At 61.6% G+C, this 27,919-nt stretch overlaps 2 long non-coding RNA genes and 2 other non-coding genes across 4 annotated transcripts, besides 7 other annotated features; 3 read left to right on the forward strand and 1 right to left on the reverse strand.

Moving 5' to 3' along the window:
- Nucleotides 1-102: 102 nt before the first annotated feature.
- CRMA (cardiomyocyte maturation associated lncRNA) lies at nt 103-8,594 on the reverse strand. Its single transcript, NR_033263.1, has 7 exons — nt 8,459-8,594; nt 5,345-5,494; nt 4,860-5,033; nt 4,581-4,735; nt 2,739-3,891; nt 2,253-2,400; nt 103-1,796 (listed from the first exon to the last, which is right to left on the reverse strand). It is a non-coding gene; the product is annotated as a cardiomyocyte maturation associated lncRNA (long non-coding RNA).
- On the forward strand, nt 7,486-27,797 carry MIR1-1HG (MIR1-1 host gene). The gene is made up of 4 exons (NR_171007.1): nt 7,486-8,071; nt 10,498-10,698; nt 22,022-22,133; nt 27,477-27,797. It is a non-coding gene; the product is annotated as an MIR1-1 host gene (long non-coding RNA).
- Nucleotides 7,573-8,448: an enhancer, noted in NCBI's record as "H3K27ac-H3K4me1 hESC enhancer chr20:61147747-61148622 (GRCh37/hg19 assembly coordinates)". NCBI's record gives its function as "activates a minimal SCP1, AML or CMV promoter by ChIP-STARR-seq in primed H9 embryonic stem cells {active_cell/tissue: H9 hESC(primed)}" and the evidence as "EXISTENCE:reporter gene assay evidence [ECO:0000049][PMID:30033119]".
- MIR1-1 (microRNA 1-1) lies at nt 11,339-11,409 on the forward strand. Its single transcript, NR_029780.1, has one exon. It is a non-coding gene; the product is annotated as a microRNA 1-1 (primary transcript).
- Nucleotides 13,753-14,624: an enhancer, noted in NCBI's record as "H3K4me1 hESC enhancer chr20:61153927-61154798 (GRCh37/hg19 assembly coordinates)". NCBI's record gives its function as "activates a minimal SCP1, AML or CMV promoter by ChIP-STARR-seq in primed H9 embryonic stem cells {active_cell/tissue: H9 hESC(primed)}" and the evidence as "EXISTENCE:reporter gene assay evidence [ECO:0000049][PMID:30033119]".
- Nucleotides 15,495-16,366: an enhancer, noted in NCBI's record as "H3K4me1 hESC enhancer chr20:61155669-61156540 (GRCh37/hg19 assembly coordinates)". NCBI's record gives its function as "activates a minimal SCP1, AML or CMV promoter by ChIP-STARR-seq in naive H9 embryonic stem cells {active_cell/tissue: H9 hESC(naive)}" and the evidence as "EXISTENCE:reporter gene assay evidence [ECO:0000049][PMID:30033119]".
- Nucleotides 18,155-18,672: an enhancer, noted in NCBI's record as "H3K4me1 hESC enhancer chr20:61158329-61158846 (GRCh37/hg19 assembly coordinates)". NCBI's record gives its function as "activates a minimal SCP1, AML or CMV promoter by ChIP-STARR-seq in primed H9 embryonic stem cells {active_cell/tissue: H9 hESC(primed)}" and the evidence as "EXISTENCE:reporter gene assay evidence [ECO:0000049][PMID:30033119]".
- Nucleotides 18,673-19,191: an enhancer, noted in NCBI's record as "H3K4me1 hESC enhancer chr20:61158847-61159365 (GRCh37/hg19 assembly coordinates)". NCBI's record gives its function as "activates a minimal SCP1, AML or CMV promoter by ChIP-STARR-seq in primed H9 embryonic stem cells {active_cell/tissue: H9 hESC(primed)}" and the evidence as "EXISTENCE:reporter gene assay evidence [ECO:0000049][PMID:30033119]".
- Nucleotides 19,192-19,709: an enhancer, noted in NCBI's record as "H3K4me1 hESC enhancer chr20:61159366-61159883 (GRCh37/hg19 assembly coordinates)". NCBI's record gives its function as "activates a minimal SCP1, AML or CMV promoter by ChIP-STARR-seq in primed H9 embryonic stem cells {active_cell/tissue: H9 hESC(primed)}" and the evidence as "EXISTENCE:reporter gene assay evidence [ECO:0000049][PMID:30033119]".
- Nucleotides 21,945-22,046, forward strand: MIR133A2 (microRNA 133a-2). Its single transcript, NR_029676.1, has one exon. It is a non-coding gene; the product is annotated as a microRNA 133a-2 (primary transcript).
- Nucleotides 26,337-26,838: an enhancer, noted in NCBI's record as "H3K4me1 hESC enhancer chr20:61166511-61167012 (GRCh37/hg19 assembly coordinates)". NCBI's record gives its function as "activates a minimal SCP1, AML or CMV promoter by ChIP-STARR-seq in primed H9 embryonic stem cells {active_cell/tissue: H9 hESC(primed)}" and the evidence as "EXISTENCE:reporter gene assay evidence [ECO:0000049][PMID:30033119]".
- Nucleotides 27,798-27,919: the final 122 nt, after the last annotated feature.

The following is a 27,919-nucleotide window of genomic DNA, read 5'->3' on the forward strand; positions in this document are numbered from 1 at the left end:
GTCTCCCGGGGGAGCCCTGCTTGTCCCCCCTCGACGCTCGTCTGGGCTGGGAGGGTCTCCTGGAAAGATGTGTGAAGGAGGGGCGAGGTCATGAGTCTCCCATGGCTGCTGTAACAAAAGTCACAGTTTATTCTCTTGCAGTCCCAAAAGTGAAATAAATCTAAAGTCCATGTGTTGAAAGGGCTGGCTGCTGGAGGCCCTGGGGAGAATCCGGGTCCTGCCCTCTCCGGGGTCTGGAGGTTCCCGCGCCTTCACCCGTGGCCCCTCCTTTAAAGCCATCTGTGCTATGTCTTCCAGGCTCCCCCTGACTCTGACCCTCCCACCCCCTCTCCTAAGGACCCTGTGAGGACACTGGGCCCACAGAGAGCATCCAGTGTGATCCTGCTCCGTCCCTCCTGCAGAGTCCCTGCTGCCACATAAGGTGGCACGGCCACGGGTTCTTGGACTGGGACGTGTACATCCTTAGGGGGAGTGGGCATTACTGTGTCCCCACACAGGGAATATGACAGCAGCAGACTGGCTTGGGCAGTGCTAATGCTGAGTTGTCTTACGGCCCTCCCTGGCAAACCTGTGACTGGCCCCGGGACAGTGTCCTTGGCCAGGAGGGCAGCCACCCCCCACCCTGCCTCTCTCCCAACTGTGGCTGGGGCATCAGGAGAGGCAAGGTCAGACCTCAGCAGTAGCTGCCCCTCCTCAGTGGGCAGCCTGAAGGGCCCCAAGCTCACGGTCTGGGTGGCCCTGTGTCCCAGGGCAGAGGTCACTGAGAGAGGTTTGGGGCTGGACTCTGAGCTGGGCTTTTTTTTTTTTTTTTTTTTAAACAGAGGTGAAATTCACACGACATACAATGACCACTTTAACAAGTGTGGTTCGGTGGCATGTAGCACATTTGCCACACTGTGCAGCCGCCACCTCTGTCTACTTCCCAGACACTTTCATCCCCCACCGAGGAGCTCTGGAGCCCATTAAGCAGTCACTCCCGTTCCTCTCCCCGCCCCCGCACCGCGGAATCTGCTTTCTGTCTCCATGGAGCTGCCCGCTCTGTGCATCTCCTATCAGCGGAATCCTGCAACCGGCGGTCTCTGTGTCTGCTTCTCCCGCCGAGCAGGGTTTTCAGGCACTTCGTGTTACCGCTCGTGTCCCCGTGTCATCCCTTTTTAGGGCTGAATGCTATTCCCTCACATGGATATGCCGCACTTCATTTATTTATTCATTTATTTAGAGACAGAGTCTCACTCTGTTACCCAGGCTGGAGAGCAATGGCATGATCTCGGTTCACTGCGACCTCTGCCTCCCGGGTTCAAGCGATTCTTGTTCCTCAGCCTTCCAAGTAGCTGGGACTACAGGCGCTCATCATCACACCCAGCTAATTTTTATATTTTTAGTAGAGACTGGGTTTCACCATGTTGGCCAGGCTGGTCTTGAACTCCCAACCTCAGGTGATCCACCCACCTCGGCCTCCCAAAGTGCTGGGATGACAGGCCATGCTTTCTTTATCTGTCATCAGCTGACAAGCCTGTGGCTCCTCCGCCTTTTGGCTGCTGTGAATAGTGCTGCTGGGAACACTTCTGTGCGCTTATTTGTTTGAATATTTCTTTTTATTTTGGGGAGCTGGTGCTGTATTAGTCAGGTCTTGCATTGCTGTAAAGATAAACCTGGGGCTCGGTGATTTATGAGGAGAGGTTTAGCTGGCTCACGGTTCTGCAGGCTGTATAGGAAGCATGGTGCTGGCATCTGCTGGGCTTCTGGTCAGCCCTCAGAAAGCTTACAGTCATGGCAGAAGGCGAAGGAGGAGCAGGCTTGTTACATTGCCAGAGCCGGAACAAAAGACAGAGAGTTGTGGGGGAGGTATGACACACTTCTCAACAACCAGATCTCGTGAGAACTCACTGTGGTGAGTGGGTTCATGGCACCCAGCCATGAGGGATCCACCCCCAGAACCCAAACACACCAGGCCCCACCTCCGGCACTGGGGCTCACAGCTTAACACGAGCTTTGGAGGGGACGTGCAAGCTCTGTCAGAGGCCCAGGAGTGCAATTGCTGGGGTTTATGACTTCATTTTTCAAGGGACTGCCAGGCTGTTTCCACAGTGGCTTCACCTGCATGAGGTGGTCAGGGGTGGGTGAAGGGGCCCCACGTGTGGCTGGGCAGCAGTGACAGGGCTTGGTCAGGAGCCAACACCCTGCTCCTTGCAGTGAACAAGAAGCGCACAGCCCGAGAGAGCCCTAAGTGTTCACGGCCACCCTGTACCTACACAGCTGTGGGGTCAGCTCCAGGGAAGTGGCCTGCTCAGCCTCAGTCCTCTGCTGGGAGCCCATTGTTCGTGGATTTCCAGAAAGAGGGGTGCCAGGTGCACACTCGACTCACTGAGTGGGCCGCTGGTCCGGGCACAGTGGAGGCCTCTGCTGGGACGTAAGATACTATGGGAAATACTGGCTTCAAGAAACCCAAGAAACCCTCCCCACGGAGCACCTTGGCTGCTGGGGCTTTGTCCGGCCGCGGTGGGCGACTAGGGACAGCTCGGGTGTGGGGTAGCTGCGGCTGGAATCCTGCGGATGAAGTGGGAGCAGCCCTCATCAAGCCACCGCTGACTGGGACCACGGCTCCCCAACAGCTCCCACTGCCTCTGGGGTTGGGCATCCTGGCAGGTGTCCCCGCCCCTGTGGCCTGACCCTCCAAGGGTACTGGCCCTGCCGTGCACCTCCCCCACTGAATAAGCCCTCAACCTCGCCCCACTCACAAAGCTGAACACATATGAACGCGGCTTCAGCCAGAGTCCCCTGTCCTGCCCACAGCCCAGCTGTCCAGCTGTTCAGGGGTCCATGGATTCATGGATCAGTTGATTGATCGAGTCATTCATTCATTCACTTGGTCCTCTGAGCTCCAGTGTCCAAAGGCCGAAGAGAGGTGAGGAGGCAGCCCTGCCCGGGGTCCTCCCTGAGCTCCCACTTCCTCATCACCCCTAAGGGGGTGCTGTGGCCCCCCTTCCCAGTTGAGGAAGCTGAGGTCAGAGAGGTGAGAGACCTGCCCTCATCCACACCCAGGCCCAGGCTCGGAAGGGCCTCCCCCTCCACCGGGGCACAGTGATGCTGGGCGCTGGCACTGGTGAGGCGCCTCCCTCAGCCCGTCCTGCTGGTGCAGGAATGCCAAGGAATTGTGGGTGGCAGGGCCCTCCCCTGGACAAGGGTCCATCTCAGGGTGTCTGCCCCGTCGGCTGAAGACCCCCTCTCCCTGGCAGCCGGGGCCTGGTCACAGCTGCTCCTGGGACCCTCACCTTGACTGTGTGAATTTCTGCCCACGATAGAGACCCCGAATCCACGGCTGTGGCGGGTGCAGGAGGAGGAGGATGGCCCTGCCGGGGCGTGTGTGCCACATTCTGAGCACAGACATCCCTAGGGGATTGGGATGCCGCCTGGCCCTGGGGGCTAAGGGGCCACTTGGGACACTCAGCGGTGGCCCAGGGTGAGGCTGGAATCCAGAATCAGATGGTCCTTCCCGGCAATGCAGCCCCCTCCGCAGACCGGATGGTGTGGCCCCGTGGGAAGCGCTGTGGCGTGGGGCTCCATGACCGCCCTTGGCTTCCGAGAAACCGCTGCTCTCCTGCGTCCGCCCTCCGCTCAGCTTGTGTGGTGAACTCCCCTCGTGCGCGAGGTGCCCTGTGGCCAGAGTCTGCATGTGCCTCTACTTACCCAAATCCCAGGGGCCTCTCGCTGGGAGCTGCCCCCACCCAGTCAGCCCCGGGACCCTCTGGTCTGTGCTGCAGCCTCTGCGTTGGGCAGCCTCTCTCCTGTTTGCTCTGGCACCATCCAGGCCACAGTCTCCGTGCTCCCCACTCTCCAGCCCGGCTCCCCTCTTGCTGCACTCAGAGTCCTGGGGCTGGGGCAGGTTCAGATCTGGGGACAGACAAGGATGTAGGGGCAGGAAGATAGGCTCTGGGTCTTCGCGTGCTGGGCAACTGGCTTTTCCTCCTGAGCCTCAGTTTCCCCACCTACAAAATGGTCTCAGAAGGCTCCCTGGTGACGGGCCGTCCCCCTCCTAGGGATGCACTCTGTTCCTCAGGGCCCAGGCCATCTGACATCCCCCCTTGCTCTTGTGACCACATCTGCTCCAACAGTGAATCTTTCGGGCAAACTTTCAAGGCACAGCCAGAGCTGGGCAGCCCTCCCCAGGGCACCGCAGCTGGGCAGGGCCCCTGATGCTCCAGCCTCTGCCCTCCACCCTCACCCTCAGCAGATAAGCCATAAGGACCCTGCTATAGCCGTGCCAGCCTGCCCAGGCCTGTGCCCCTCAGCAGGACACCTGCAGCCCTGGCACTGGCCTACAAGGCCTGACGTGGTCTGACCCTGCCCGAAGCCCAGCCCCAGGCCACCCATCCACTGCCACTGCCCCAGTGGCAGCCATGCTGGCCTCCTGCTGCCCGCTGGACACACCAGGCCCCCCTTCCCGCCTCCGGGCTCCTGCCTTCCTGTACACACTCCCCGGGGTGCTCTTCCGGGACCCTTCCCCGCCTGCCCCTCTGACATCACTGGGGGGCCTGTTCATTCACCCCCACCCAGGCCTTCCCTGACCTCTGACCTCTGACCTGCAAGGCGGGACTCCAGGCCCTGCCCCCTGCTCCCCGGCTGCTCCTTCCGGCCCCCATGCCTGGCGCTGGGCCTGTCTCCACATTCCCTGGGCTGTGCATTTTCTCTCTCCCCCGCTGTCCCATACGGCGCCAGCTACATGAGCCTCCTGAAGCTGAAACAAATCAAAGCTGCACTGACTAAAAAATCCAGGTCTGCAGGGGCACCAGCCCCGTTTCTGAGAGCTTGGCAGCCACCGTGGCCAGTGGGAGCCGTGTGAGACAGGGCAGAGCACTCACCGTCATGGCGTGTTCCACCGGACGGGGCCTCGTGGTCAGCCCCGCAAGGGCGGGGTGAGCCTGCTTGTCCCCTGCTTGGGTCCTTGCTCAGGCGTCCCTGTGGGGCGAGGGCTGTGGTGGCCTTGCTGTCGGGGCTTACTGCTTGCTCCTTCATTCATTCACGCCTTAAACCACCTGCAGACACCAAGGGGAAAGTCTCGGGGGCCTAGGCCCTTCTCCCCTCTCTTCCCCTTCTGCCCCCTCTACCCCGTCTCCCCCTTCTCTCCCCTCTCCCCTCCCTCCCGTCTCTCCTACCCACTGCGGTCTCCCTTTCAAATCATGGTGGAGTGGGCCACGGGCAGCACGGCCCTGGGCCGTCAGGGGCGAGGGCTATGGGCTCTGACTTTACTGCCCTGGCGAGGACAGCCGTGGACATGGTGGGGGCCAGAACACACCCAGCTCCGATCAGTGCTTGGTATGGGACCTTGGGAGAGTGAGGCACCCACCCTGAGCCCACGTTCCTTCTCCGTAAAGTGGGGACAGCAAAATGCTCTCCTCTTAGGGATGCCTTGAGTGCAGCATAGAGCCCCTGCAGAAGCTTCTGGAACACCAGGCAGCCTAAGTGCTGTGTGCCGGCTGTTACTGTGAGGCTGGTGCTATGGGTAAACGGGGGAACTGCTCTGTCTTCTGGCTCTGTCCTACGGCCTGGGGGCTGTCAGATCTGGCCACCCACACCAGCCCTTCTCCTGGAAGGAGATGGCCCTGTGCCCGTGCCCTGGTCCGTGGGTGTGGGGCTGCCGTGAGGAGGGTGATTTATGGCCACGTCTGCTGCATACCCTCTCTCTCACCACCACAAAGCACCCGCATCCTTTACAGAGCCGCCTGCCCAGGCCTGCAGACTGCTCCCCACCTCCCCCATTGTGGCTGTCTATGCCCCTGACCCCAGCTGCAGGCCTGGCCTGCCCCCCTCAACCCTGCCTGGAGACGGCAGGCAGGAGGAAGTGGGCTGCAGGGGAGGGGCCTTGCAGGGGGAGTTTGGACACCACACCTCACACCACGCTCTCCCGCTGCCAGTGGGAAGCCGAGTGGCTATTTAGTTTCCAGAAAAGTGCTCAGACCAGGTAGAAGCTTAAAACCTCCTGGCCTCCTTTATGGTGAGACATGGGGTCTTTAGCGGGGCGTACAGGGCTGGGAGAAGGGCCTGGCATCACTCAAGAAGCCTCTGCACTGGGCAGGTGCAGGGGGCGTCCCTCTGTCCCTCGCTGTCGCTGGCCGGAGGACACCAGAGTGGGTGTCGGCGTGTGTGGCGAGTGTGGCTGGGGCTCCGGCTTCTCCCCATGACTCTGCAGAGCCGGCCTTGGGATGTGGGGAAGGGGCCGTGAGCCCAGGAGGTGAACCTGGAGGAGAGCCCTGCCTCAGCTCCTGTGGGCCAGCCTGGGGGGTGTGCAGGCTCCTCAGGGGCTCCCCTGGGATTAGATGCAGCTGAGCCTGTTCTGAGCGGCATAGACTCCCCGGCCCTGTGTCCCTAACTGGCCAGAACCACAAGGGGATGCCTTCCTAAGTCCGGGAGGCACTGGGGACATTTATGAGGTGGCTTCTGAACAGGAGGACCTATGCTCTGGACAGGACTCACAAATACCAAAGCTCATTGTCCCCATCACACGGGCCTGTGCCTGCCACCAACGAGCGGGGTCCCCGGACCACTGTGGTCCACTGTCATTCCACGACCTGGTCCCCAGTCCTGTGGGGCCCCAGAGAGATGGGACGACCAGCCAGCGTCACACAGCCTGTGAGGACAGTCTGCCAGTTCAGGCCTCTGGTCTCTGCGTCCAGGCCCTGCAAGGACAGATCCCCGTCAGGCCCCGTCCCAGGCCCTCGTCTGTTACATAATTCGGGCGTGAAATCCCGGAAGGGGGAGCTCCTGAGCCCGTCCAGCACCCGGGATTGGGGTCTCCCCATCACACACCCTTGGTGGCAGGGCCTGGCTGGGGGCGGCAAGCAGGTTGACCTTGCCTCTGTCCAAGGCGACTGGCATTTGTCATGACTTGGGGTTGGCTTGAGAGTCTCCGGAAACCCAGGTGGCTCTGTCACCACCTGATCCTGGCCCCAATTCTAGGCAAAAGGGCAGAGCCGATGGGACTGTGGAGGGGGCCACCCACTCCTGGTGGCCTGGGTGGGCTCAGCCCACTGGAGGCTCAGAGCAGCGAAGGAGGCCGTACCATTCTGCCCGCCCCCCCCACCCCCGGCCCTGCAGCCTGGGAGATGCCCGGGTCTCCCCAGGGCACCCTAGGAGCCGGCTGGCATGGCATGGAGGCTGCTGCCCGGCTACTGAGGAGGCGCCTCTGTACTGGCTGGGCTAAAAATAGCGGGGGGATCTCGGGCAGGGACAGCCGGTGGGAGGCCTGTCAGGGAGGGGCCGGGAGGGGCAGGACAGCAGCCTGAGCCCGGGACCCGCCGTCAATGGCGTGGGTGCTCCCACCCTGTTCCCGGTGGCCGGGCCAGCCGCGGCCCAGCTGACAGGCTATTTTTTCCCCTGCTTGACTAAATATGGTCAGGGAGCGCAGCCCGAGGGGGCCACTTGGCCAGGGCCGCGTGTTTGGGATGCTTGGCCGGGTATATAAGAACTGCAAAGGTGAGGCCGGCTCCTGACCCGAGGGGGGCCCCCACGCCCGCTCTGGCCTCTCAGGTCAGGCCCTCCCCTCCCCTCCCCTCCCCTCCCCCGCCCCTGTGTCTCCGCGAGCCGGCTGTGTGCCTGCGAGAGCGTGCACACCCGCGGGACCTTCCCTTTTGTTCCACCCTGACCTCTACCTTCTCTACCTTGTGCTGACCCCGCTGGGGTGCAGGGGTTCCCTTCGGAGGAGGCCGGGGCTCAAGGTGTGCAGCTCGGCCGCCTCTCCCTAACTCTGCACCAGCGCCTTCTCTCTCTCTCTCTCTCTCTCTCTCTCTCTCTCTCTCTCTCAAGATCTCCCTCCTGCTAAGTCTGCGCTGCTGCAGGAGGGCTGGGGGAAGGGCAGGGGTGTGGAGAGGGGGTGCCTGGTGTCTTCTTTCTCTCTCTGCCCCCACCAAGTGCGGACGCATCGAGCTTCGGCCCCCACCCCTGCATTCGCGATTGGCTCCCGGAGGAGGTGGCTGGTGCTGCCGCCGCTGCAGCATCTCCTAGGGAGCCGCGACCCTGCGCCCGCCGCCGCTGCCGCTGTCACCAGCCCGGCCCCAGGGGTGCCCTGGGCTCCGCGGTGAGTCCTGCTCAGCCCATCACCACCGCTGGGCCGCCGGGACGGCCCCTGCAAACTTGCCGGGCACCGCGGTGGGGGGTGTGCCTGCCAGCGAGGTGGGTGCTGCGGGTGCCGGCGCCGTGCGGCTCCGGCGGGGGTGCCGTGGAGTTTTCTCTTGGCTCGCGGCATCATCCACATTTGGAAAACTGCAGAGCCAGCAGCCGGCAGGGCCTGGAGGGCGCGTCCAGCTGGGAGGCAGGAACTTTGACTTGCGGGCATTTTGCAAGAAAGCAGCGGCCCCCCACGCGGGCAGTGGATGGCATGGGGGCTTCGGGGCTGGGCTGGGGGCGCGATTCACCTGCCGCTCCGCAACAAAGCCCCGGCAGCCGGGCGTGGGGCTAAACTTACCTTGAACTTGCAGTATCCCCCACTGAGGTGCTGGTGGGGGGCAGGGATTCCCGAGCTGAGCGGCGGCGAGGCTGCCCCCGGCCGGGACTCGGCACTTCTGCAGCTCTCCCAGCCACGTCAGGGTCAGGAGGCGTTTACAGGGGCAGGGCGGCGAGGTGGGGGGCGGGGGGCACATGTGGGCGGAGACTAGGGGGGCTTCGGGGAGAGCAGCCCTGGTGGTCGGCGTCTGTGCAGGTCCCTGCTGGGGAGCTTGACTTCCCGCGTGGCCTCCCGCGGCGCTGATGCCGGGGGCCGGGCGGTATTCACCGCTGAAGAGCCCCGGAGGAGGCCCCGGGCACAGGAGCCAGCTCGGCTCACGGTGGGGTCTGCTTGGAGGCGGCTGGGTGCTCTTTTTCTATGCAGACGGGAAACTTTTTGAAAAGTGACTACAATTCATTTGTGAGTGGGCAGAAGTCCTGTGGACTCTGGCTGGGTCTGGGGTGACTCTCCTGCCCTTTGGGACTCCCAGCTTTCCCCTTGACCCCCAGACCCCGTCCAGATGAATGCCTCACAGGTCGTGGGGGCTTGAGCCAGGCTGCGGGAGTGTCCCAGGCTCTGAGAGCTCATGTGCCAGGGAGCTGGGGACGTTGAGGAGGCCTTTTCCCTGGACTCCGGGGACGGTTATTGCGGAGGTCTTGGGAGGGCACAGATGAGCGGCGGAACCCAGGTGCCCCCGAAGTTGAAGCTCAGGCTGCGGTGTCGGGTGCCCTTTTTGTATCCTTGGCTACGTGAAAATGATAAATCACAGCAGCTACGTGGAAATGGGACATCAGCTTCTGCTTCTGTCTGCCATTTGCTCCTTCCTTTGTAGAGGGGATGCCTCCAGAGCCTTAAGCACAACCCCCACCCCCCGCCCCCACCCACCCCCACGTGAAACTCCAACCCAGCCATGCCCAGCTGCAGACCCACTGCCACACAGCCACAGCATGCTCAGTGGCCTCTGCACACTGCAGGCTCTGCGGAGACATTGCCCTGCCCTGGGTGGTAAGAGAGAACCAACTCGCTCCGGGCTGTCCCCTCGCATGGACGGGCTGCCTGGAGGAGCAACAGAGTCATGTTGGACCTCTCTTCCTGATGAGGACAACGGGAGGTCCTTTCATGTCCCGGGGCTGCTGTCCCACCCCACGCCAGGGTCAGTGGCAGGACAGGGGCCAGGGCCCAGCTGGACCCCACCGCTTAGCAAGCCTCCTGTGTCTGTGCCCGGCCTGCACCCCCAACTGGCGCCTCCCTGGCCCCCGTCCCCCCCAGGCACCTGCAAAGCCTTCTTTCCACCTCTCACCACCGCACGTGCCAGGCTCGCCCTGGGCCACTGCGAGGCCTCGAAACCCTGCAGGCCTCCTCCTCCTCCTCCTCCTCCTCTCCCCGCTCCCAGCAGGTTCGGGGCGGCTTCCCTTCCTGCTGGTGAGGGCCTAACCTTGAGGTCCCATTGGTCTCCTTCTGGCTCTTTCTCCACATTTTTCAGAGTCTGGCTTCACGGCTGGTCATAGAAGTTGGCAGGGAAGGAGGCAGCCTCTGCTTCCCACTCAGAGACATTTTTAAACGCAATGAAAAACATATCGATACAATTAAGTATTCCAAAGTGCTTAGTTTGCCACTCGCTAAGTTTACTTAAACCCTCTTTAACAGGCTCATTAGGAGCTGGTGAGCACCGGGAAATTCATTAACAGGAAGGCGGCCCCCTGCATTTGACTGTAAATTGGTATTGATCAGGGGCTGGTGGAGGCTGGGCGGCTGGCCACAAAGAGCCAGGTGTGGGACCAGCCTCCCGGGGGTGCCACGGCAGTGGCGCTGGGCAGGTGACGGTGGCTGCTGACCCCCGGTGCCCATGTAAGCTGCTGGCTCTGCGCAGCTGCCGCTTCAGGTGGGCCGCACTGCGCGGCGGTTCAGGGTGGTGACGCTGCGAGGCGGGGACGGGGGAGAGGGTGAAGAAGAGCGAGAGAAGGAGGGAGAGAACCGGGGGAGCGACGCTCCCTCGCCCACTGGGTGTCTGCTGTGGCCAGGCTGAGGCACCTAGGGAGTTGCCCCCCTAGTGGACGGCCTCTCAGGAGATCCTGACCACCCTCTGGGAACCTGGACTCCTCCAAGCATCGTCTTTCTCGCCTGCATCTTCGGAGAGAGGTGCTGAGCCCTTCCTCATGGATACGGGGTCCCGGGAGGCAGCCTTCACCAGGGACCTGCCCAGGAAACCAGCAGATGCCCAGGTAAGCCCCCAGGACACCTCTCGGGTCTCTGGTCTGCAGTTCCTCGTCTGGCCTCAGGAGCAAGGAGTTGTCCAGCTCCCGGAGAAGGAGGAGGCTGGTCCTGCGAGTGGGGTGCTGGGCAGGGCGCCCCCCAAGGTTCCTCTCTCCACCCAGCCCTCTCTGGGCTTGGCTGGGATGAGGTGACCCAGGGGGACAGGAAAGTGTTGGCTTTGAAAGTTTGGGACATGGATGATGCCTCCCTGCTCTGGGGTGAGGGTGGAGGGGCAGCCTGTCTCTTCCATGGACGCAAAACCGAGCTACTGCTGGGGCCAGGGACAGGCGCTCGAGACTTTCTGGGGCTCACTGTCCACTTCTGCCTTTCTGGATCGTGTGAGTGTGTGAGACAGACAGAGAGAGATGGATTCAGGGATGGAGGGGCGCCGAGGTCAGAAGGGGGCAGGGAGTCCTGGGCCCCTGGGGGTGGCTGGACACCAGGCAGCAGTGGCAGGAAGGCTGTCCTGCTCACACAGAGAGGGCTCCGGCAGTAGACTCCAGGGAAGAAGTTACACTGCCTCTGAGCTGCCTTCTCTACATCGCAGTGGGGTCAGCTTCTACCGGGGCGGCGTCCCGGGGTCTTGGAACTGCATGCAGACTGCCTGCTTGGGAAACATACTTCTTTATATGCCCATATGGACCTGCTAAGCTATGGAATGTAAAGAAGTATGTATCTCAGGCCGGGACCTCTCTCGCCGCACTGAGGGGCACTCCACACCACGGGGGCCGCCGCGGCCGACAGCCAGCCAGGCGGCTGTGGTGGGGGTGAGGCTGGGGCGGCAGGCTGCCTGGGCGTTGGTGGACGGTCGTGTCCCCGCCAGCATTGTTCTGTCACTTTGCCTGTGTCAGCAGGTGGAAGTGCTCACCAGACATTAAATATTCAGCTTGCTGACTGCGGCAGAGGGGAGGCGGCCTCCGGCAGGCGCGGGGTCCAGCGCGGGGCTGGTGAGGGCTGGGGGGTCGGGGCCGTGGCTGGAAAGCACGGAGTGGTGGCGGCGGCTCTGGGGGCTCCACTGATGGCCATCCTGGAAGAGGCCATCAGCCGGCAGAAAGGGCCACGTGTGGCCAGGGCAGAAACTGCTCAGAGGCACAAGACAAGAGCGAGTTTGGAAAAGGGCAGGTGGCTGGATGCAGAAAGGAGGGAGAGGCTGGGCAGCACATGGTAGAGTCTGCGGAGGGAAGGCACCTCCTGCACCTGCATCCAGCCCTCCCGGCTGTAGGGCAAGGCAGAGGAACTCGGAGGCATGTAGCCTCCAAGGAAGGCGCAGCCCACACGAGATGCTGGGGACGCGGGCAGGGTCAGGGCCACCACTGCCCTTAGGCCCCACTCCTCTGCCGAGGGCACCTGGGACAGGGTCAGAGGAGCTGAGTCTGTGCAGCCCTGAACCCACAGCCCACCCCAGGGGCCTGGGAGCCGTTCGATTTTGCCAAATGTCTGGTTCATGCCGCCCCAACCTGTACCCCCACCAAAGCCCCGGTTCAGCTTTCTCTCTGTTCCGCCGAATCCAACCTGAGGCATGTTTTGCTGTGAATGCAGGTGAGGCTTTGGCAGAAAGCAGCGTGTGGCCCAGGGCCCCTTGCCCCACCTGTCGGGGGCCTGAGAGCCATCTGCTCTGCCGCCATCCCAGTCCTGACCCGAGAAAGGACTGGGAGGATGTCCTGGGGCCCAGGGGATGAGGGCAGGTCCGGATCCGTCCGTGAAACCCTTTTCCCCAGTGCTGGTCCTTCAAGGAGAGGATGGGCGGCGGGTTCTGGGGTCTTAGGCAGCGGCTGGGCTGCTGTGTGAGGGGCGTTTGCCCGGCTCGTTTCTGAGTCTCAGATTGGAGGCGTTTGCCACCTGGGATGAGGCCAGGTCCCTGCCTGGGCACCCCCACCCTGCCACAGGCCTCAGGATTAATTTCTGGGGTGTGTGTCCTCTCTGCCTTGGCACTGCTCCAGCCACAGCGGTGCCCCTGTGCCCTACCTCCCGCACCCTGGCCTTCGGCAGGAATGAGGCGGGAAGGGACAGGCAGGCAGCCCCCTCCTGCAGCGGCTGGAGGCCTTGGGTCTGGGGGCAGCCAGGTCACCTGAGCAGCTGGGGCCAGCATAGGGAGCGCTGGATAAAGGGATTGGGGGCCGTTCTGAGCTTTCAGGTGGCTCCCACCCCTCAGGGAGCCTCGAGGTGACTGGAGGGGAGGGCCTGGCAGTCAGGGCTCCTGGCCTTCAGGTCTTCCTTCTGGAAACTTCGTTCTCCCAGCCTCAGCCCCATCTGGCGTAGCAGCAAGGGGGCGGGTGTTGACCTCGGGCACAGCCTCCTCTCGGCCTCTGGACCCGGAGGGTCAGTGCCCAGCATCCGCTGACGTCATCTCTTCCCTGCCTGCTCCCAGCTCCGGCCACAGGGAGGGAAGTAGCCGGGCGTGTGGCCACCGAGGCTGCCGGTGGCCACAGACACACCGTTCTTTTCCCCTAGATGCGGCTGTTGTACATTAAAGCTTTATTGCAGGATGTGGTGTTTAAATAAAAGCATTAGTGTTTTGGAATTAGGTTTGACTGAGCAGTAAAACTGGAGAGTTCACAGGGAGAGAGCTGCGGCCTGCTTGGCGGTAAATCACCTCCAGTCTCTGATCTGCTGAATTAAAAATGAGCATTGCACGGACACCGCCCATGGCAGCCCGAGCCCCTCTCCCCTGCACGTGTGGCCTGATGGTGCTCCCTGGGGATCCTGCTGCTTTCCTGGAGACACTGGGACCCGGGGCTGGAGTCTCCCATGCGTGAATCTCTAAAGCTTGGCTCCCGGGCAGCAGCCAGGACGGGAACCCCAAACTGGCGTGGGGCATGGACACGCTGGGACTTTCCCCTGTGGGGGTCTTTGTGCCTGTCCGTTTGAAGGAGGGGAGAGCAGGCAGGGCGGGGGCACAGACCCTCACTGGCTATGTCTTGCCCGCAGGGACTCTCCTGAGACGGCTTAGGCACGCTACCATGGGGGCCGGGACTCTCAGAGGGAAATGAGCCTGGACTGGGCTGAGGGGGCTGGACATGGGACACCCACCCCCTCGCCTGCCAGCTCGGGAACCCAGGTGGGTTTGTGTGGCCATGAGGAGGTGGCCAGTGCCGGTGTCTCTCACTCCCTAGAGCAGGTAGCACCAGGTGTAGGCTTCTGGGTTTCCCAGAACACTCTGGAAACTGCCCCACGGTGATCAGAGGCTGGGCCAGGCTCCCGCTCGTGGAAACAGCCGCTGCAGAAATTGTGGAGCTCATAAATTCAGCGGACCAAATTAGTTACCTTTTTCTATCCTATGGCTCACAAAAGCTAGCTATGCTCCAGGCACTGTTTCCACCCGTGAGTGAGACCGGCTCTGGGTCCTGGAGCTTGCACGCAGGAGAAGGACGGTCTTTGGGAAGGGACGGCCCCGCTGCTGTGCCTGCACGCGTGTGTCACGATGAGTGGTCTTGCATTTCTGCAGCCAGGGGGCCGAGGACATAGTGGCACCCCCTTCTAAAGAGGGGGCCTTTGGTGATTCTGGCTTAGTAGTGCATTCAAGTGCAATACAGTGTTTTATTGCACAAGCATTCAAAGCAGGCGCAGCGGCTGGTGAGAGCATTCGCGAGAGGTGCGTCGGCAGTCTCTGTGAAACTGTCGGGCTCACATGGGGAACGTTGCGTCGAAGAATAAACTGCTATCAAGCATGATTAGATTGACCCACAGGACAGATATTTTAGATGCCGCAGCCGGAGTCAATCAAAATGAACATCACTCGAATTGCAAATTTTACCCAAAAAATGCTCTAAAGTAAAAATGAGAGAACCTGAGTGGCCCGAGCCATCTTCAGGGCCAGGGCGTGGCTGGGCAGTGCTGGCCTGAAGGGTTTCTGGGCAGGGATGGCCAGAGGTGGGCGGGGCGGTGCAATGCCGTGAGTCGCTGCCACCTTCGCATGAAGGGTAACCCAGCAACCTGAGGGATTTTGTGCTGACTCAGCCCCGCCGTGCACGTCCGACTGCAGAGGCCTCCCGTGCTCTCTGCAGCCCTGCTCCTGCCTTTGATGCCCCCGGGCAGGATGCTGACCTCGGGGTGGCTGGGCTTGGGCCCCAGCAAGGGAGGCTCTTGGACAGGAGCACAGGGCTTTGTGAGGGGCCCTGGCCTTGCCCACTGTCCTTGGCCAACCAGCAGCCTCTGTCCCTGTGAACTGGAGGCATCGCACCCAGGAAGAGCTGGGCATGGCTTTTGGGAAGGGAAGGCACCCGCAGACAGTATCAGCAGCTCCCAGAGCCTCGTGCTGTCTGCTCCTTCCTGAGGTCCCAGGCCCAGCTGGCCAGAGCTTGGGGCTGGGAGGGCCCTCCCCGGAGGCCCCTGGGTGCCCAGGGAGGACTCTGCCTTTGGGGAGGACTCTGCCTTTAGTGCTCAGAGTCCCCAGCCGGCTCTGACCCCTGGAAGCCCGTCCTGCTGAGTGGGGAGGGGCGGTGACTGCAGCAGAGGAGTGGGGCAGGCTGCTGCCGAGCTGCCGCCTGGGATGCTGCAGAACACCGCAGGAAGCATGCAGGGCTGCGCGTCTCAAGGGCAGGGATCAGAGGGCCACCTCTGGCAGCTCCACCGCTGGCTCCCTTAGATAGAGGGACACAGGGCCGAGGTTCCCACACAGCGGTCACTGCAAAGGCACTGTGAGCTCGACTGATTCACCCAGGTTTCAGAGGCACCACTAAGCCTCAGGCCAGGTCTGCTCCCTGCACCAGGCGGGCTGCCCCATTGGGGTGCAAGTGTGTGATGCTGAAGGACAGAGATGCTGGGGGGGACACTGGGCCTCTCAGGCCTCCTGTGTCTACCCCAGGGAGAGAACATGGGAGAAAGAGCCCTGTTTCAGGAGTGCTGGGTGCAGAGGTCACTGGCTGCTCCCTGGCCAGGAGGTGGTCACCCAGAAGCCTTGGCGGTGGGAGACTGGGGTCCACTCCTCACAGGGTCGAGCGACTCCTTGGCTGGGACTGGAGGCAGGTGTGTGTGTGTGTGTGTGTTTGCATGGGCATGCACGGAGGACGATTTCTGGGATGACTGGGACAATGACCCAGAATATTTTTAACAGCGGCAGGAGAGGGGGTAGAAGGCAGCTGTCCCTGGAACCTGTCCCCGGGGGGCCCCGTGGGGATGTTTTGAGGTTGAAGGACGCCCAGGACAGTTGCACCGTGTGGCGCTTGTTGTCCTGGCAAGCCGATGCCCTCTGTCATGCCCAGATATGGCTCCAGGGCTGCATGTGTCTCCCCAGCTGCCCGCCCGCCCACCACGCCAGTATAAATAGTCCGCGTTCTCAGCTGTCCCATGGAGAGGCTGAACTCGGATGACTCTGCCGGAGCTCTAGGAGTGCCCCCGACCCCGCCCACTGCCTAAGTGCCTGAGGCCAGCAGCTGTAGCGGGACAGAGGCCGGGTGAGGCTCTGGGCTCTTGGGCTCTGCCTCTGTCTCTCCCTCCTCACCTGCCCCCTTGGAGGGTGTCAAGTCCAGGAGGGACCCAGCTACCTTCTGTCGTCCCTTCCCCAGGGCATGGCGGGGACTTTGCCCACTGAGAGTGAAGAGGGACAAGAATCCCCACCCTGGGAGTGGGTGCAGGGAGCTGCTTGGTTCCCTGGCCTCGGGCTCAGGCCTGCAGCAGGCGAGACTGTCGCTGGGGTCCCTGCTGCCCCTCCCTCGGGTACCTCCTCACCTGTCCCGGCCCTCCTCCCACATCAGCTGTAGCAACACACTCCAGAGGCCTTGCAGGCCCGAGCACCAGCTTGCCAGGCCCCTTCCCAGGGGAACTGGCTTTCCCTCCACCCTTAACTCAAGAAGTGACTCTCTAATGGTAGAATTTCAAACACCTCCAAGGCCTGTGGAGCTGATGCCCTTGAGTGTGGGCAGGAAAGGCCCATCCTGTGTTCCTTAGACATGGGGTGCTGCACCCCACCTGAGGACTGATGAGGACATGTCCCGCAATGTCTCTGCACACTGGGTGGCCTCACTGAGCCAGAGGGAGGGCAGGGAACACCGGCAGAATCGAGAGCCCGACACACACTTGTGCGTGGAGCTGGGGCCTTCCTTGGTGTCCCAAGGCCTGCGGTGGCCACATGGATGCCCCTGTCATTTCATCTGTGGCCATCCCTGAGGTCCTGGCTTAGGGATCTGTTTCTGCAGGTGGGCAGGAGCGGTGGGCAGGTGCCCTCCCACCCACAGGAGGGGGCTCCAATCAGACTCTGTGCACCAAATGGCTTTTCCTTATCCTGGGACACGTGGCCGTTCATTTGTCCCCGAGCTGCCAAGCCCTCTCTCTTGACCTCGGGTCTCTCTGATCCTGTTCTCAGCCAACAGCCTTCTTCAAATTAAACCAGCTTTTACCGCGGCCCTATTTTTGAGATCATAAGACACAAAAGTCTATCTTGCCATTTTTGCAAAGAACAGCTAAATAATCATGTGTCCCCTCCCGCCCTGCCTCCCCCCAGCCTGCCCCCTGCTCTGTGGGTCTATTTGAGGCGAAATTTATCTCTAGGAAGGGACCCATCAATTTGCCTTGCTCTTTTGTTGACAAGTTTATTAAAAACCCGGGCAACTCTGTATTAAACTTTTATCAGTGTTGAGAAATAATACATTTCTTTTTTTGAATAGATAGAAAAGTTATGGATTTGGGCTGAGCGGGTCTTGTTCAGCATTTGGCTGAGTCAGCGTTGCTGATGATAAGAAACAAGCCGTTTTGGGGTGCAGGGTTTCCTCTTGCCTTTTAATTAGGGGTCTCTCTGCAGACTGCCCTGTGAGAGCCAGAACCCCAAAGGCTCCTGCAGAAACCCCAACGGGGGCTGCCCACACACACCAGGCTCACTGTAATTCTTTGCTATCTATTTTAATAATTAACCAAAATCTGGAATTAAAATTTAATTCAGTGGTGAATCTGAGTGCTAATAGGTAATGGTGCTGCATGGAGAAATATTAGGTTATTGACATTTAAATTTTAAAAGCTTCATAGCAAGAAACAAAAAAAGCATCCAGATGGGAGTTAGCAATGTCCTCCCCTGGTGGGAGGGGAGGGGCCCCTGTCCTGCCCCACTGTGAGTGCAACTGGGGTTGAGGGGGGAGGAGGGGAGGGGCCCCTGTCCTGCCCCCCGGTGAGTGCCTGAGATTGTGGGGGAGAAGGAGAGGGGCCACCCTTGCCTTCATCTTGGGTCCCTGAGTCTCTGTGGGGGCTTTGGCAGGGGCAGGGCTGTGCTCTGCAGTCTCTGAGGGCAGTGTCTTTGCTGCGGGTGTGACCTGGTGTTGGTTGTCCTTGAGGGGAAGTCGTTTGGTGCCGCATCTTCACCAAGGACGCTGGTTGTAGTGTCCCCTGTGCTGGGGCAAGAGACACCTTCCCCTGGGGGTCCTGTGTGGTTTCTGCCCAAAATGGCCACCGTTCCCCGAGGTCCTGGGTGAGGGCTTTTGGGTGCAGCAGGAGGGACTGTTGGCTTCCACCGCCCTTGAGGGGCAAGTGCCCAGGGACCCCGGGCCAAGCTCAGACCCGGCCATGGCATGACCAAGATTCAGGCCACACGGGGCTGGTGCTTACACATGGTCATTCACACTCCCACATGGAGGACCTGAGGCGCAGAGGGGCTGCAGAAGTCCCCAAGAACCCCTGGCTAGGTGTGTGGCACTCTGTGCCCGGGGTCCCCCTCTGCCCCACCAGATGTCGACCTGGGGACGGCTGCGGCTGCAGGGGAGGGCCCGGCGGTGCGTTTCACACTTGCTCCTACTTCCGCCTTCCAGGGCTGTGGGGCTGCCTCCCCTCTAGGGTCCAGCGCAGGGGCTGGGGCCCTACCAAAGGTAGGAGGGGCTTCCGGGATAAGATGGCAGGCGTGGCTCTGGCCCTCCTGCTCCCCTGTGTCCTCACCCCTCGGGGGTCCGTGGGTGAGGCTGCTGCAGCCGTGAGTCTCAGTGACACTTCCTACCAGGTCTTTATCTACACCACTATTTGCTCCAATTATAACTAATTGGACACGTACTGTATCTTCATGGCATCTAATTTTGTATTGATTTTAACAGGGCTGCCGGTGCTTTCGGCAGAGATTGCCTGCAACTAGTATCCGTCGCTGCTTAAAAATGCTGAGTGTACTTCCCTGTGTGGGACAACTCCATCAGCAGATGTTTTAAAACCTGTTTAATTGTTTGGTTCATAAAGTGCACTAGCGGTAGGAGCTGCAGCCTTGTTCTCTGTAGCACTGGAGTCAAGAGAGGGGCAGGAGGACCCAGAGTGGGTTTTCCGGAGAATCCACATCCCAGGCTCCAACCCCAGTTCTGCTGTCCTGGTGAACGGTAAAGTCACCAGAAACGCCTGGGCCACCTCTCTGCCAGGTCTGGGCACCCAGCCGGGGACACAGAGGGGACCAGCCAGGAGCTGCCCCTCCCTTGGCGAGCTTGCCTTTACTCGGGGGGCGCAGGGACTCCTCACTCGATGAGGAAACCACAGTGGCAGCTGGCCCCAGAGAAGGCCAGGCAGGGCTGGCCCTCCCCTACCCGGAGGCTGCTGGAGCCCTCGGGGCCCGGGGATCTGAGGCCCCAGGAGCTAGGGGCGGTCGCTGTGGTGAGGGGATGGGTCTTGGCAGGAAGGCAGCCCATGCCTGGGAGGCGGGAGGCAGCACAGCTCAGTTTGGGGAAGGCAAGCTCCAAGGCCGGAGAGCGTGGGGTGCGGGGGTCTAGGAAGGGTGAGCTCTGTGAAGCACCTGACCTTTGAGCCATGGGGCCCTTGGGGAGGTTTTGGGGCTTGTGGGGTGTTGGTTTCTTGGCCTTTTTAGAGAGAAAAGAAAAAAATACTTACAAGGAAGTTGAGGAGCCTCAGGGACCTCCCTTGTCAGCCCTCGCCCCATGCTGGTGAGACCCCAGGGTTCAGAGGGGAAGGGGCTAGAGGATCTGCCAGTGAGTGGGAGCTGCTGCCTGAGGGAGCAGAGCAGAACAGGGGGGTGCCCGGGTCCACAGGGGTCCCCGACGTCCTGCCCGAAGGATGGACCTAGTTCCGGCACGTCCCAAGAACACGAATTGTGGGCCTGTTCCTTCACATTTGCAAGAAAAGGTGTTGATCACACCCTTGGCAAAGAATGACTGGGAACCTCCCTAAGCCAGGCCACATTGGGGTGAGGGTACCTGGAGGCTGGCTGCCACCTCATGGGGCAGCATGAAGAGAGAAGGGCCTGGGCCCCGGGGCAGGGGACGCTGCTGTGAGCCCCAGTGTCCTCCTGAGGGGCAGCACAGGACTGGCCTTGAGGTACAGTGGGGTGTATGGGAGAAGACGGTGGCTGTCGGTGCTCAGGGCCGCACCTGGCACTTGGCCGCTCGGTGTCTATTCACAGCTCACGCCCACCACCGTGGCGGCTGCAACGCCAAGCTTGATGCCTCATCCAAGGCCGCAGTGGCCTCCCCGTGGGGGTTTTGCAGCCTGCCCCAGTGCTCTGCTGCCTTTCGGGTGAAATGACCAGTTTGTTTGCTATGTTGATTGGCAAATGCCAGACCTCCCAGCTCCTGATGGGATAGAATCGCGGCTGGGACTCGAATCCCCGGCTTGATCTTGTCAAATCTTCTGCTCCATTAGGAATATTGACAGGCGATAAATGGACAAGTGTGTGCCGGCTTCGAGGTCTTTGAGCCGTCCTCACTCCAGGGCCAGGGAGGGGTGGACTCTGGGAGCCTTGAGGTCTGCCCTGCACCCTCTGTGCTACTGGAGTAAGGAGGAGAGAGGTTTGCAGAGTGTGGGCTGATGGCCCGGAAGCCTCTCTGTTTTGGGGCGCGAGGCTGAGAAGGCTGGGGCCCAGCCCCGACTTATAGGGGACTTTGAGGAGGTGGTCCTCCTACACGGCACAGATCTTTCTGGAGGGCACCGTGGCAGGGACAGTCAGGGAAGGCAGCTACGGACGGGTCAGAGCAGGCCTGGCAGAGGCTGGGGTGGGGGGTCGTCCAGCTCAGTCACTCCCAGAGGGGACTTGGAGCGTGGGCATGGTGCTGTGCGACCGTCCCTTTTGCCTGAGGGGCCTGAGCTTCTGTCCCTGCAATGTCAGGAGGGGGACAGAAAGGCCAGAGGACAGGCAGGCAGGGCAGCCCCAGGTGTGCAACGGGCAGGCAGGTGGCACAGGCCCTAGTGCGCAGCGCCCACTCTGCCAACCTGGTGGGCGAGGAGCAGGTGCGTTCACCTGTGCTGCCCAGGACGGCCTGTGCTCCCGGATAGAAGCTCACACACATGGGTGCCACATCCCCAGCACTGCCGGAGACACTCTCCCTCACCTGTCACGGCTCCTGATGAACGGGGGCTGCAGGGAGACTCATTTTATAAAAGGGAACTTGCTCTCAAGGCACTGAAGGTGACATTGGTGTGGGGGACGCGGGAGCCAGGCAAGAGTGATGTCACGTTCGGACCTCCGTCCTGACACTCCATCCTCACAGTTCCCTTGGGCATGGAAATGCCCCTCAGCAAGATGCGGGCAGGGCTGCAGGTCTGGGGCATGGGGCCCAGGGTCAGGCCACGAAGGCCCCCTCAGGCTGTCCTCCCACCACCATGCAATGTGGACGTCCCTGGAATCTTCCCGTCCTGCCTACCCAGAGATACCATGTGGTGTCAGAGTCCATCCCGTCCCACCCAGGCCATGGCAAGCCAGGCAGGACGGGGTCCTGGGTGGGCTGCCCCATGGTTAGCCAGGGCCCAAGGCTCACTGGGAGGTCTGTCCTGCCTCTGCTCCAGCTATGAGCATGGTCTGGGAGGAGTTTGCAGGGGAATAAGGGCCTCAAACCTGCAAGATCACTGTGCCCACAGATGTGAGCCCCCTGGGGCGGGGCCCGATGGTCTGAGCTGTATCCCACAGCTGAGGCTAGTGCTGGGGGCAGTGGGCACTTGGTGAAGCGAGGGCTGTGGAGGAATCGGGCGGTGACAGGCAGAGAGCAGTGAGTGTCAGTTCCAGAGCATGGAGGCCGCCTGGCACCCCCGACCCTCCCCAGACCCCTGCGGGTCCCCGATGGGGGAGCCCGGGCAGAGCGAGAGGGTGGTGAGTTGCGTGTGAGCGGGTGTGTGTGTCTGTGTATGTCTGAGTGTGTGTGTGTGTTGGGGCGTGTGGCCCTTCACACCAGTCCCTGCAGAGCTTGAGGGAAACTCCACGGGGTGGGGGCCCTCCGGGAGTTGGGGTAAGGGCCTGATGCTGGCCGCGAAGCCCCATCTCCATCGGGACTGCTTGGTGGAGCCGCCTTCTTCACCGACGTCGCTGTTCCTCGGATCTGGGAGCCAAATGCTTTGCTAGAGCTGGTAAAATGGAACCAAATCGACTGTCCAATGGATTTGGTCCCCTTCAACCAGCTGTAGCTGTGCATTGATGGCGCCGTGCGGCCCGGCCGCAGGTCCCGCAGCCGTGGAGAGGACCCAGCAGGTGGCGCGGGGAGAGCCCGGCTCGGCACGTGGTCAGCTCCAAGTAAGTGAAGCCCTGAGTGCCGCCCCCGCCCCCGGAACACTTCAGTGCAGAGCCCGAGACCCTTCCCCCTGAAAGTGGGTGGCTGAGGAACGGGGTCATCCCCACAGCTGGGTGCTCCTGCTTGTTCCTCCTTGCCAGGGCACCATGAAACCAATGTTCATTGCTCACACAAGAGCTTTGCTTGAAAATGTGGGCTTAGGAGCTGGGCCCTGTGGGTTGGGCCTGCCGGGGGCCTGGGCTGGCCCCGCCCTGTCCTCTTCCCAAGGACCCTTCTTCGATTTCTCCTTTAAAATGGCCTGGACTCTAAGGCACCTCCAGGGACCCACAGGGGTGAGCACGGATGCTGCGCTGGTGACCTGTGGGGGTCTGTGTCCTCAGTGGGGAGGCCTGGGCCGGTGGCATCTCTCCAGATGGCCTGAGGGGTGCTGGGCCTGGCAGGGAGACTACCAAACAGGAGCCCCTCAGCATGGCCCGTGGCTGGGGAGGTGCCTGTGAAGGTTGCTGGGGCCCCCAGGGGCTCCCCATCTCCCCACCCTCTTGCGGGAGGCAGTGACGCCCATGTGCAGGGAAGCTGGGCCATCAACGGGCACAGCTGCAGTGAGCAGAGATCTGCAAGGGGGTCTGCAGGCCAGGTGGCACCCAGGACCCATTGTGGGGGTCCCCGACCATGTGCCCTTCCCTTGGCAGGGGCTGGCATGAAGGGGCTCAGGCTGCTGGGCGCCAGCAGATTGGAGGCCTGGGCAGGCACGGGGGCTCCTGCTGGGCATCTCTAGGCCTGGGGTTCCAGGGCCTGTCAGGAGTGACCCCTGACTTCTGCCCAGAGTTGCAGACGTGGGGCCTCCCCTCAGGGGCCACCAGCTGCCGGCCCCAGGGCAGGTGAGGCGAGGGTCAGGACCCTGGGAGGGATGAGCAGAGGGAAGGGGCATGGTAGGCAGAAGGGCAGACACCCCCTGGACTGATGGACGGATAGAAGACCAGGTCTGAAGACAGTGGCCCTGGCTCAGGAAGCCACGGCTCCCTCCTCACACCCTGCCCAGCTTTAGTGCCTCTAATTCCTAGGGTCAGCTTAACCCTAACCTTGGCACCGTGTTACCACCCCTCTTCACACAGAGTCGCTATGTCCCCAGATAGTGGGAGTGGCCGAGAGGCTGGGGTAGTGGACGGCAGCCCAGTCTTCAGCACAGGGCTGGGGCTGGAGTTTGAAGACCAGAGTGTGCGGGATCCATGGGCTCTGCTCCCGAAGGGCTGCATGGCCTCAGCCTTTATTCAAGCCTCTCTGAGTGGAGGGCAGAGTGGTCAGCCCCTGCTGGGGGTCCTGGCCAGGCGCCGCCTCCTGGGAGCCTCCGGGGGCTTCCACTGCTGAGCCCTTTACAGGGGGCAGCCGGATGGCCTGGGTGTGGCCGTGCCTTTCAGGGTGGCCTGACCCCAACCCCACCAACCCCAAGCTGTGTGGTGCCGGGGTCTCCTGCCAGGGACATCTGTCCATTGGGTGAGGCCTGGTCCTGTCCTGGAGGGGAGACTTTGGACATCCACGCAGCCGAGGACCTGGTCGGCCTGCCCTCAACCTTCCCTCCTACCTGGAGGGCGGTGAGGTGGCTGGGGTGCAACAGCTTGAGGTCCTCTGTCAAATACATCACCCGGGTGAGGACTCAGGGAACCACTCCCGGGCCTGTGGGAGGGATTTGTGCAAACATCATGCCAAGAACAGTGTCTGTTGTTGACCCAGCACCCGCCAGGGAAGGCTGGAGCCACTGGAGTCCCTTCCAGTGCAGCCTGGGGTTCCTGTTGGTCACCACGCCGGCCGTGAACAGGGACGCCTGCTCCGTGTTGCCCGCCTGGCCCTTCCTCGCCACCCACGGCCCCGCCAGCCCGACCCTCTGGCACTGACACCTGCTGAGGGCAGTGATGCAGCTGCAGAAAGCCCACAGCTGTGTGGGAGCTGCCCTGCCAGGCAGGGCCTCGGGGTACCGAGGAGGGTGGCAGGAACGGAGGGGAATGAAGGCTCCGTCCCAGCCAGCCGAGAGCCAGGGCCTCCTGCTCCCGGCCTCCCGTCTCTCCTGTAAATTAAAGGATGAGATGAGGCTAAGACCATCTCCGGTGCTCCACCATGGTCAGGACATCAGCTCCAGATGACTGTAGGACACTGTGGCTGTTTCCTGGCCTACCCACCCGGGGCATCTTCATGGGGTCCCCAGTAAAAACCACTGCACCCGCCTTGCCATCCCCAGGACGGGGCCTCGTCCACTGAAATCACAGTGCAGCCCGGCACAAGGCCACGCACAGTGTGGACAGACAGGGCATGTGGATGGAGATGAGGGAACACTTGGAAGCAGCCCCCATGCCTGGCGGGCCAAGCACGAGGGGCCACACGGGCGCTGACCCTAAGCAGCCCCAGGCAATGCATGACCGCGGCCGGGTGTCCCAGTGAAACTTTATTGGCGGACGCGGGAATTTGAATACGTATCATTTTCATGGGTCACAAAATGGGTCTTTTGATTTTTTCCTCCTAGTCGTTAAAAAGGTGAACGCTGTCCTGAGCTCTCGGGGCTGTCTGAAAGCAGGTGGCAGGGGGGATTTGGCCCTGGTTGCAGCTGCCACCTCCAGGCTAGATTAAGAGGATACATGAGCAACAGGTGCTGGGCACACAGGGCCGGGGACACAGGGTCACCGAGGGCGGCACTGCTCCTCCCAGCTCCTTGCTGCATGTTTGGTCAGTGTGCAGGTGGAGGCCCCAGGGCAGCCCTAGTGTTCACAGTGGTGGGACCGCTATGAACAGCCCCAGCCTGCCCAGCAGGAGAGAAAAACCAGGAGGAGGCAGCTGGGGCAGGACAGAGCCTGGAGCCTCCAGGTTTGGGGTGGGGCTGTCTCATGCCACATCCCCTGCTCCCCCCCGCAGCCTCTTGGCTTTGGGCTGAACTTGCCCCCAGCAGATGCCCATCTCTGGAGCAGGTGCCCACTGGGAACAGGGCCCAGCCAAGCCAAGGCTACTCCCCAGGGTCAAGGAAGTGGGGTCAGGGATGGGACACAGCCCACTGGAGGACCGCAGTTTCGGATCCCAGGATCCCAGCAACCTCGGGTTGGGGTGCACGGGAGCCAGCTCTGCCAGGCTGGGCATGCTGCGGAGTGCCTGGGCATCAGAGAGGGTGAGGAGCTCACCACAGTCACACAGCCAGCCCTGGGCGAGCCCAGAGCAGAATGGGAACACAGGGCTGTCTGCCCCAGGGCTGCGTCTTCCCCTCAGGAATGAGCGGCCCTTGGCTGGACTTGGCTGGACTTGGCTGGGCTGAGTTTGGGACCCTGAGTTTGGGGGCTCCTGCCTTCAGTGCCCGCGCCTGGTCTCCATGCTTTGCTGTGTGTTTAGCTGCGTGGGGGGTCCCTGGAGCATCTTGCCTTAGGGGCTCAAGGGGAGAGGGGGCAGCAGAAGGGGGGCCCATGCTGGGGAACGGGCTTTATGTTTCCTGGCGCTCTGCCATCTGTCTTTTCATCTCCCTGGGAGGGGTGAGAATGTGGACCTGAGTGAGCAGTGGACATTGCCAGCTCAGTGACCGAGAGGATGGGTCTAAGTGTCCGGTGCTGTGGGAAAGCCTCTCCCCACCAGGTGCAAAGGTGACAGGAGTTGGCCCATCCCAACCTCGGCTGAGGATCTGCAGATCCTGGGTCCTGTATCACTGTAAGACAAGTCCAAGAGCTCATTAGAAATGCAGATTCCAGGCCCCGTACCCACCCCTACCCCAGTCAGAGCCTCCAGAGCAAGGGCCTGGGAACCTGAATTTTTACCGAGTGTGTTTGGTGAGTCTTATGAACAAGCCACATCAACCTGGTCCTCTTGATGCCTGCTGGCCCCGCACCTGCCCTGCGTACACCTTGCTCAGGTCCCCTCCCTCTCCTCCCTACCCCTCAGCGGGCCATCTCCTCTGGAAAGCCCCCCGGCCTCTCAGCAGTACGTCTCTCTCCTCTATACTCTAGCAGCCGCCATCACACTCGGGACCCTGTTGGCTGCAGTGGGTCACTGTGGAATCTCCCCTCTCCCCGCAGCCTTGGGTGGAGGGTGGGAGGTGTGTGCAGTTTCCCAGATGTCAAGGGATGAAGTAACGTAGTGTGTGTGTGTGCGTCTCCTTGTTCTGGGAGAAAGTGGTGTTGACCACAAACAAGCAGAAAGAAGGTTAAATTCTGCGACCCCAAGCAGCCCCTGGTGAGATGCCAGGCACTTCCTTCCAGACTTTTTTTCCATACGTAGCTCAGTTCATCCCCATCCCACCTCCCACCACACACACTAAGGCAGCGGCCACAGGGCTGATAAACAGCCCTTTCTGCAGAGCAGTGCCTGGGCCCCCTCCTGTATCATCAGTGGCTCTGTCCACCTTCCTGCCCGAGGTCCTGGGGTCAATGCAGTGCCAACACGCCATCCATGACCAATGCGAGCAACCTCACTGCTGTCCACAAATGCTCCTGTGCCAAGCCCTGGGCACAACGTTGTCCAAACTCTGCTGGCTCTGACATGCCTGTGGTTCCATGGCATCACCAAAAACATCCTGACTTCCTTCCTCCTGAGCATGGGATGGAGGCAAAGGCCTGAGCAGCCTCCCGTGGGTCACCCACCACGCCTGCTGCGCCCACCGCACCTGCTGCGCCCACCGCACCTCCTGCACCCACCACACCTGCCGCCCCTGCCGTGGCTCCCGTCCCTCTGCAGGGCCCTACTTCCCTCTCCTCAGCAGCTCGCTCAGGCGCTGTCCATCTCCCACCCCAGCACCCTGTCCCTCCTCAGGTCCTGCTGACCGGGCGGCCTCTGGTCTGCAGCAGGGCACACGGGCCACCAAGCGCTAGGCTGTGGGGTCGCTTGTCGAGGTTGTCTCTCCCAGCCCCTTGCTCCCGTGTCCGTGGCCTGGGACTTCCTCCAGGTGTATTTGTGGAGGAAGCCAGAGAACGGGGGCAGGGTGTGGACAAGCCTCCGAGGGCCTGAACAGGAGGCGGGGTCCCAGGCAGAATGGCCAATGCGGCCTCCCAAGTTTCAGGAACAACCCGTGATCTGGAAGCTTTGGAAACTCTTGAAGACAAGGAGCAATGACCTGGGTTGGACCAAGGATTCCAGATCCCTGCTCTGCTGCCTCCAGTGGGAACACCCACACGCCCTCCCCAGGACCCCTGGGCCGACCACCTGGGTTTGTGTGTTTCAGTCCTGGATCTTGAGCCCTTAGAAGAGACCCTGCTCCCACCCCGGCCACTCCGTCTCCTGCTTCCTCACTTTGTGTCCACTTGTCCCAGCGTGCTGGGGGCGAGGCTGGTGCTCTAGGACAGAATTCTGGTCCTGGCTCCTGCCCTGGGTTTTTTTTTTTCCTGTAGGTCAGCCCTGAAATGTCCATTACTCACAAAGAAAAGGAAAATGCTCATTTGAAAGAAATTCTTCTCTTTGTCAATGCTGAGGCATTCTCTCAGCCCCAGCCCCACAGTGCTCCAGTGTGTGAAGGGCAACAGCTGACGGGGAAGTTCAGCACATCTGTGCTGACCAGGGCTGGAGGCGATGCCAGTCCGTGCAGCTGGGAACGCCTCCTCTGCTATGGCTGGAGCCACTGCTGAAGGGACTCCACCTGGCACCTATGCCACCAATGGCCCCTGAACGGGTATCTAGGCCCACCCTTAATAAAGATGAGCTGCTCATTCCCAGTTTCAGACCTTGTTTATCCTCCCCAGCTCCCCAGTGTGTTCTGGGGGAGATCCCTCCACTGTCAGACAAAAACTTCAGAATGACAGCGGTCATGCCACCGAGCACCAGCAGCATTGGCATG

Source organism: Homo sapiens, chromosome 20, assembly GCF_000001405.40.
Source record: "Homo sapiens chromosome 20, GRCh38.p14 Primary Assembly".
NCBI lineage: Eukaryota > Metazoa > Chordata > Mammalia > Primates > Hominidae > Homo > Homo sapiens.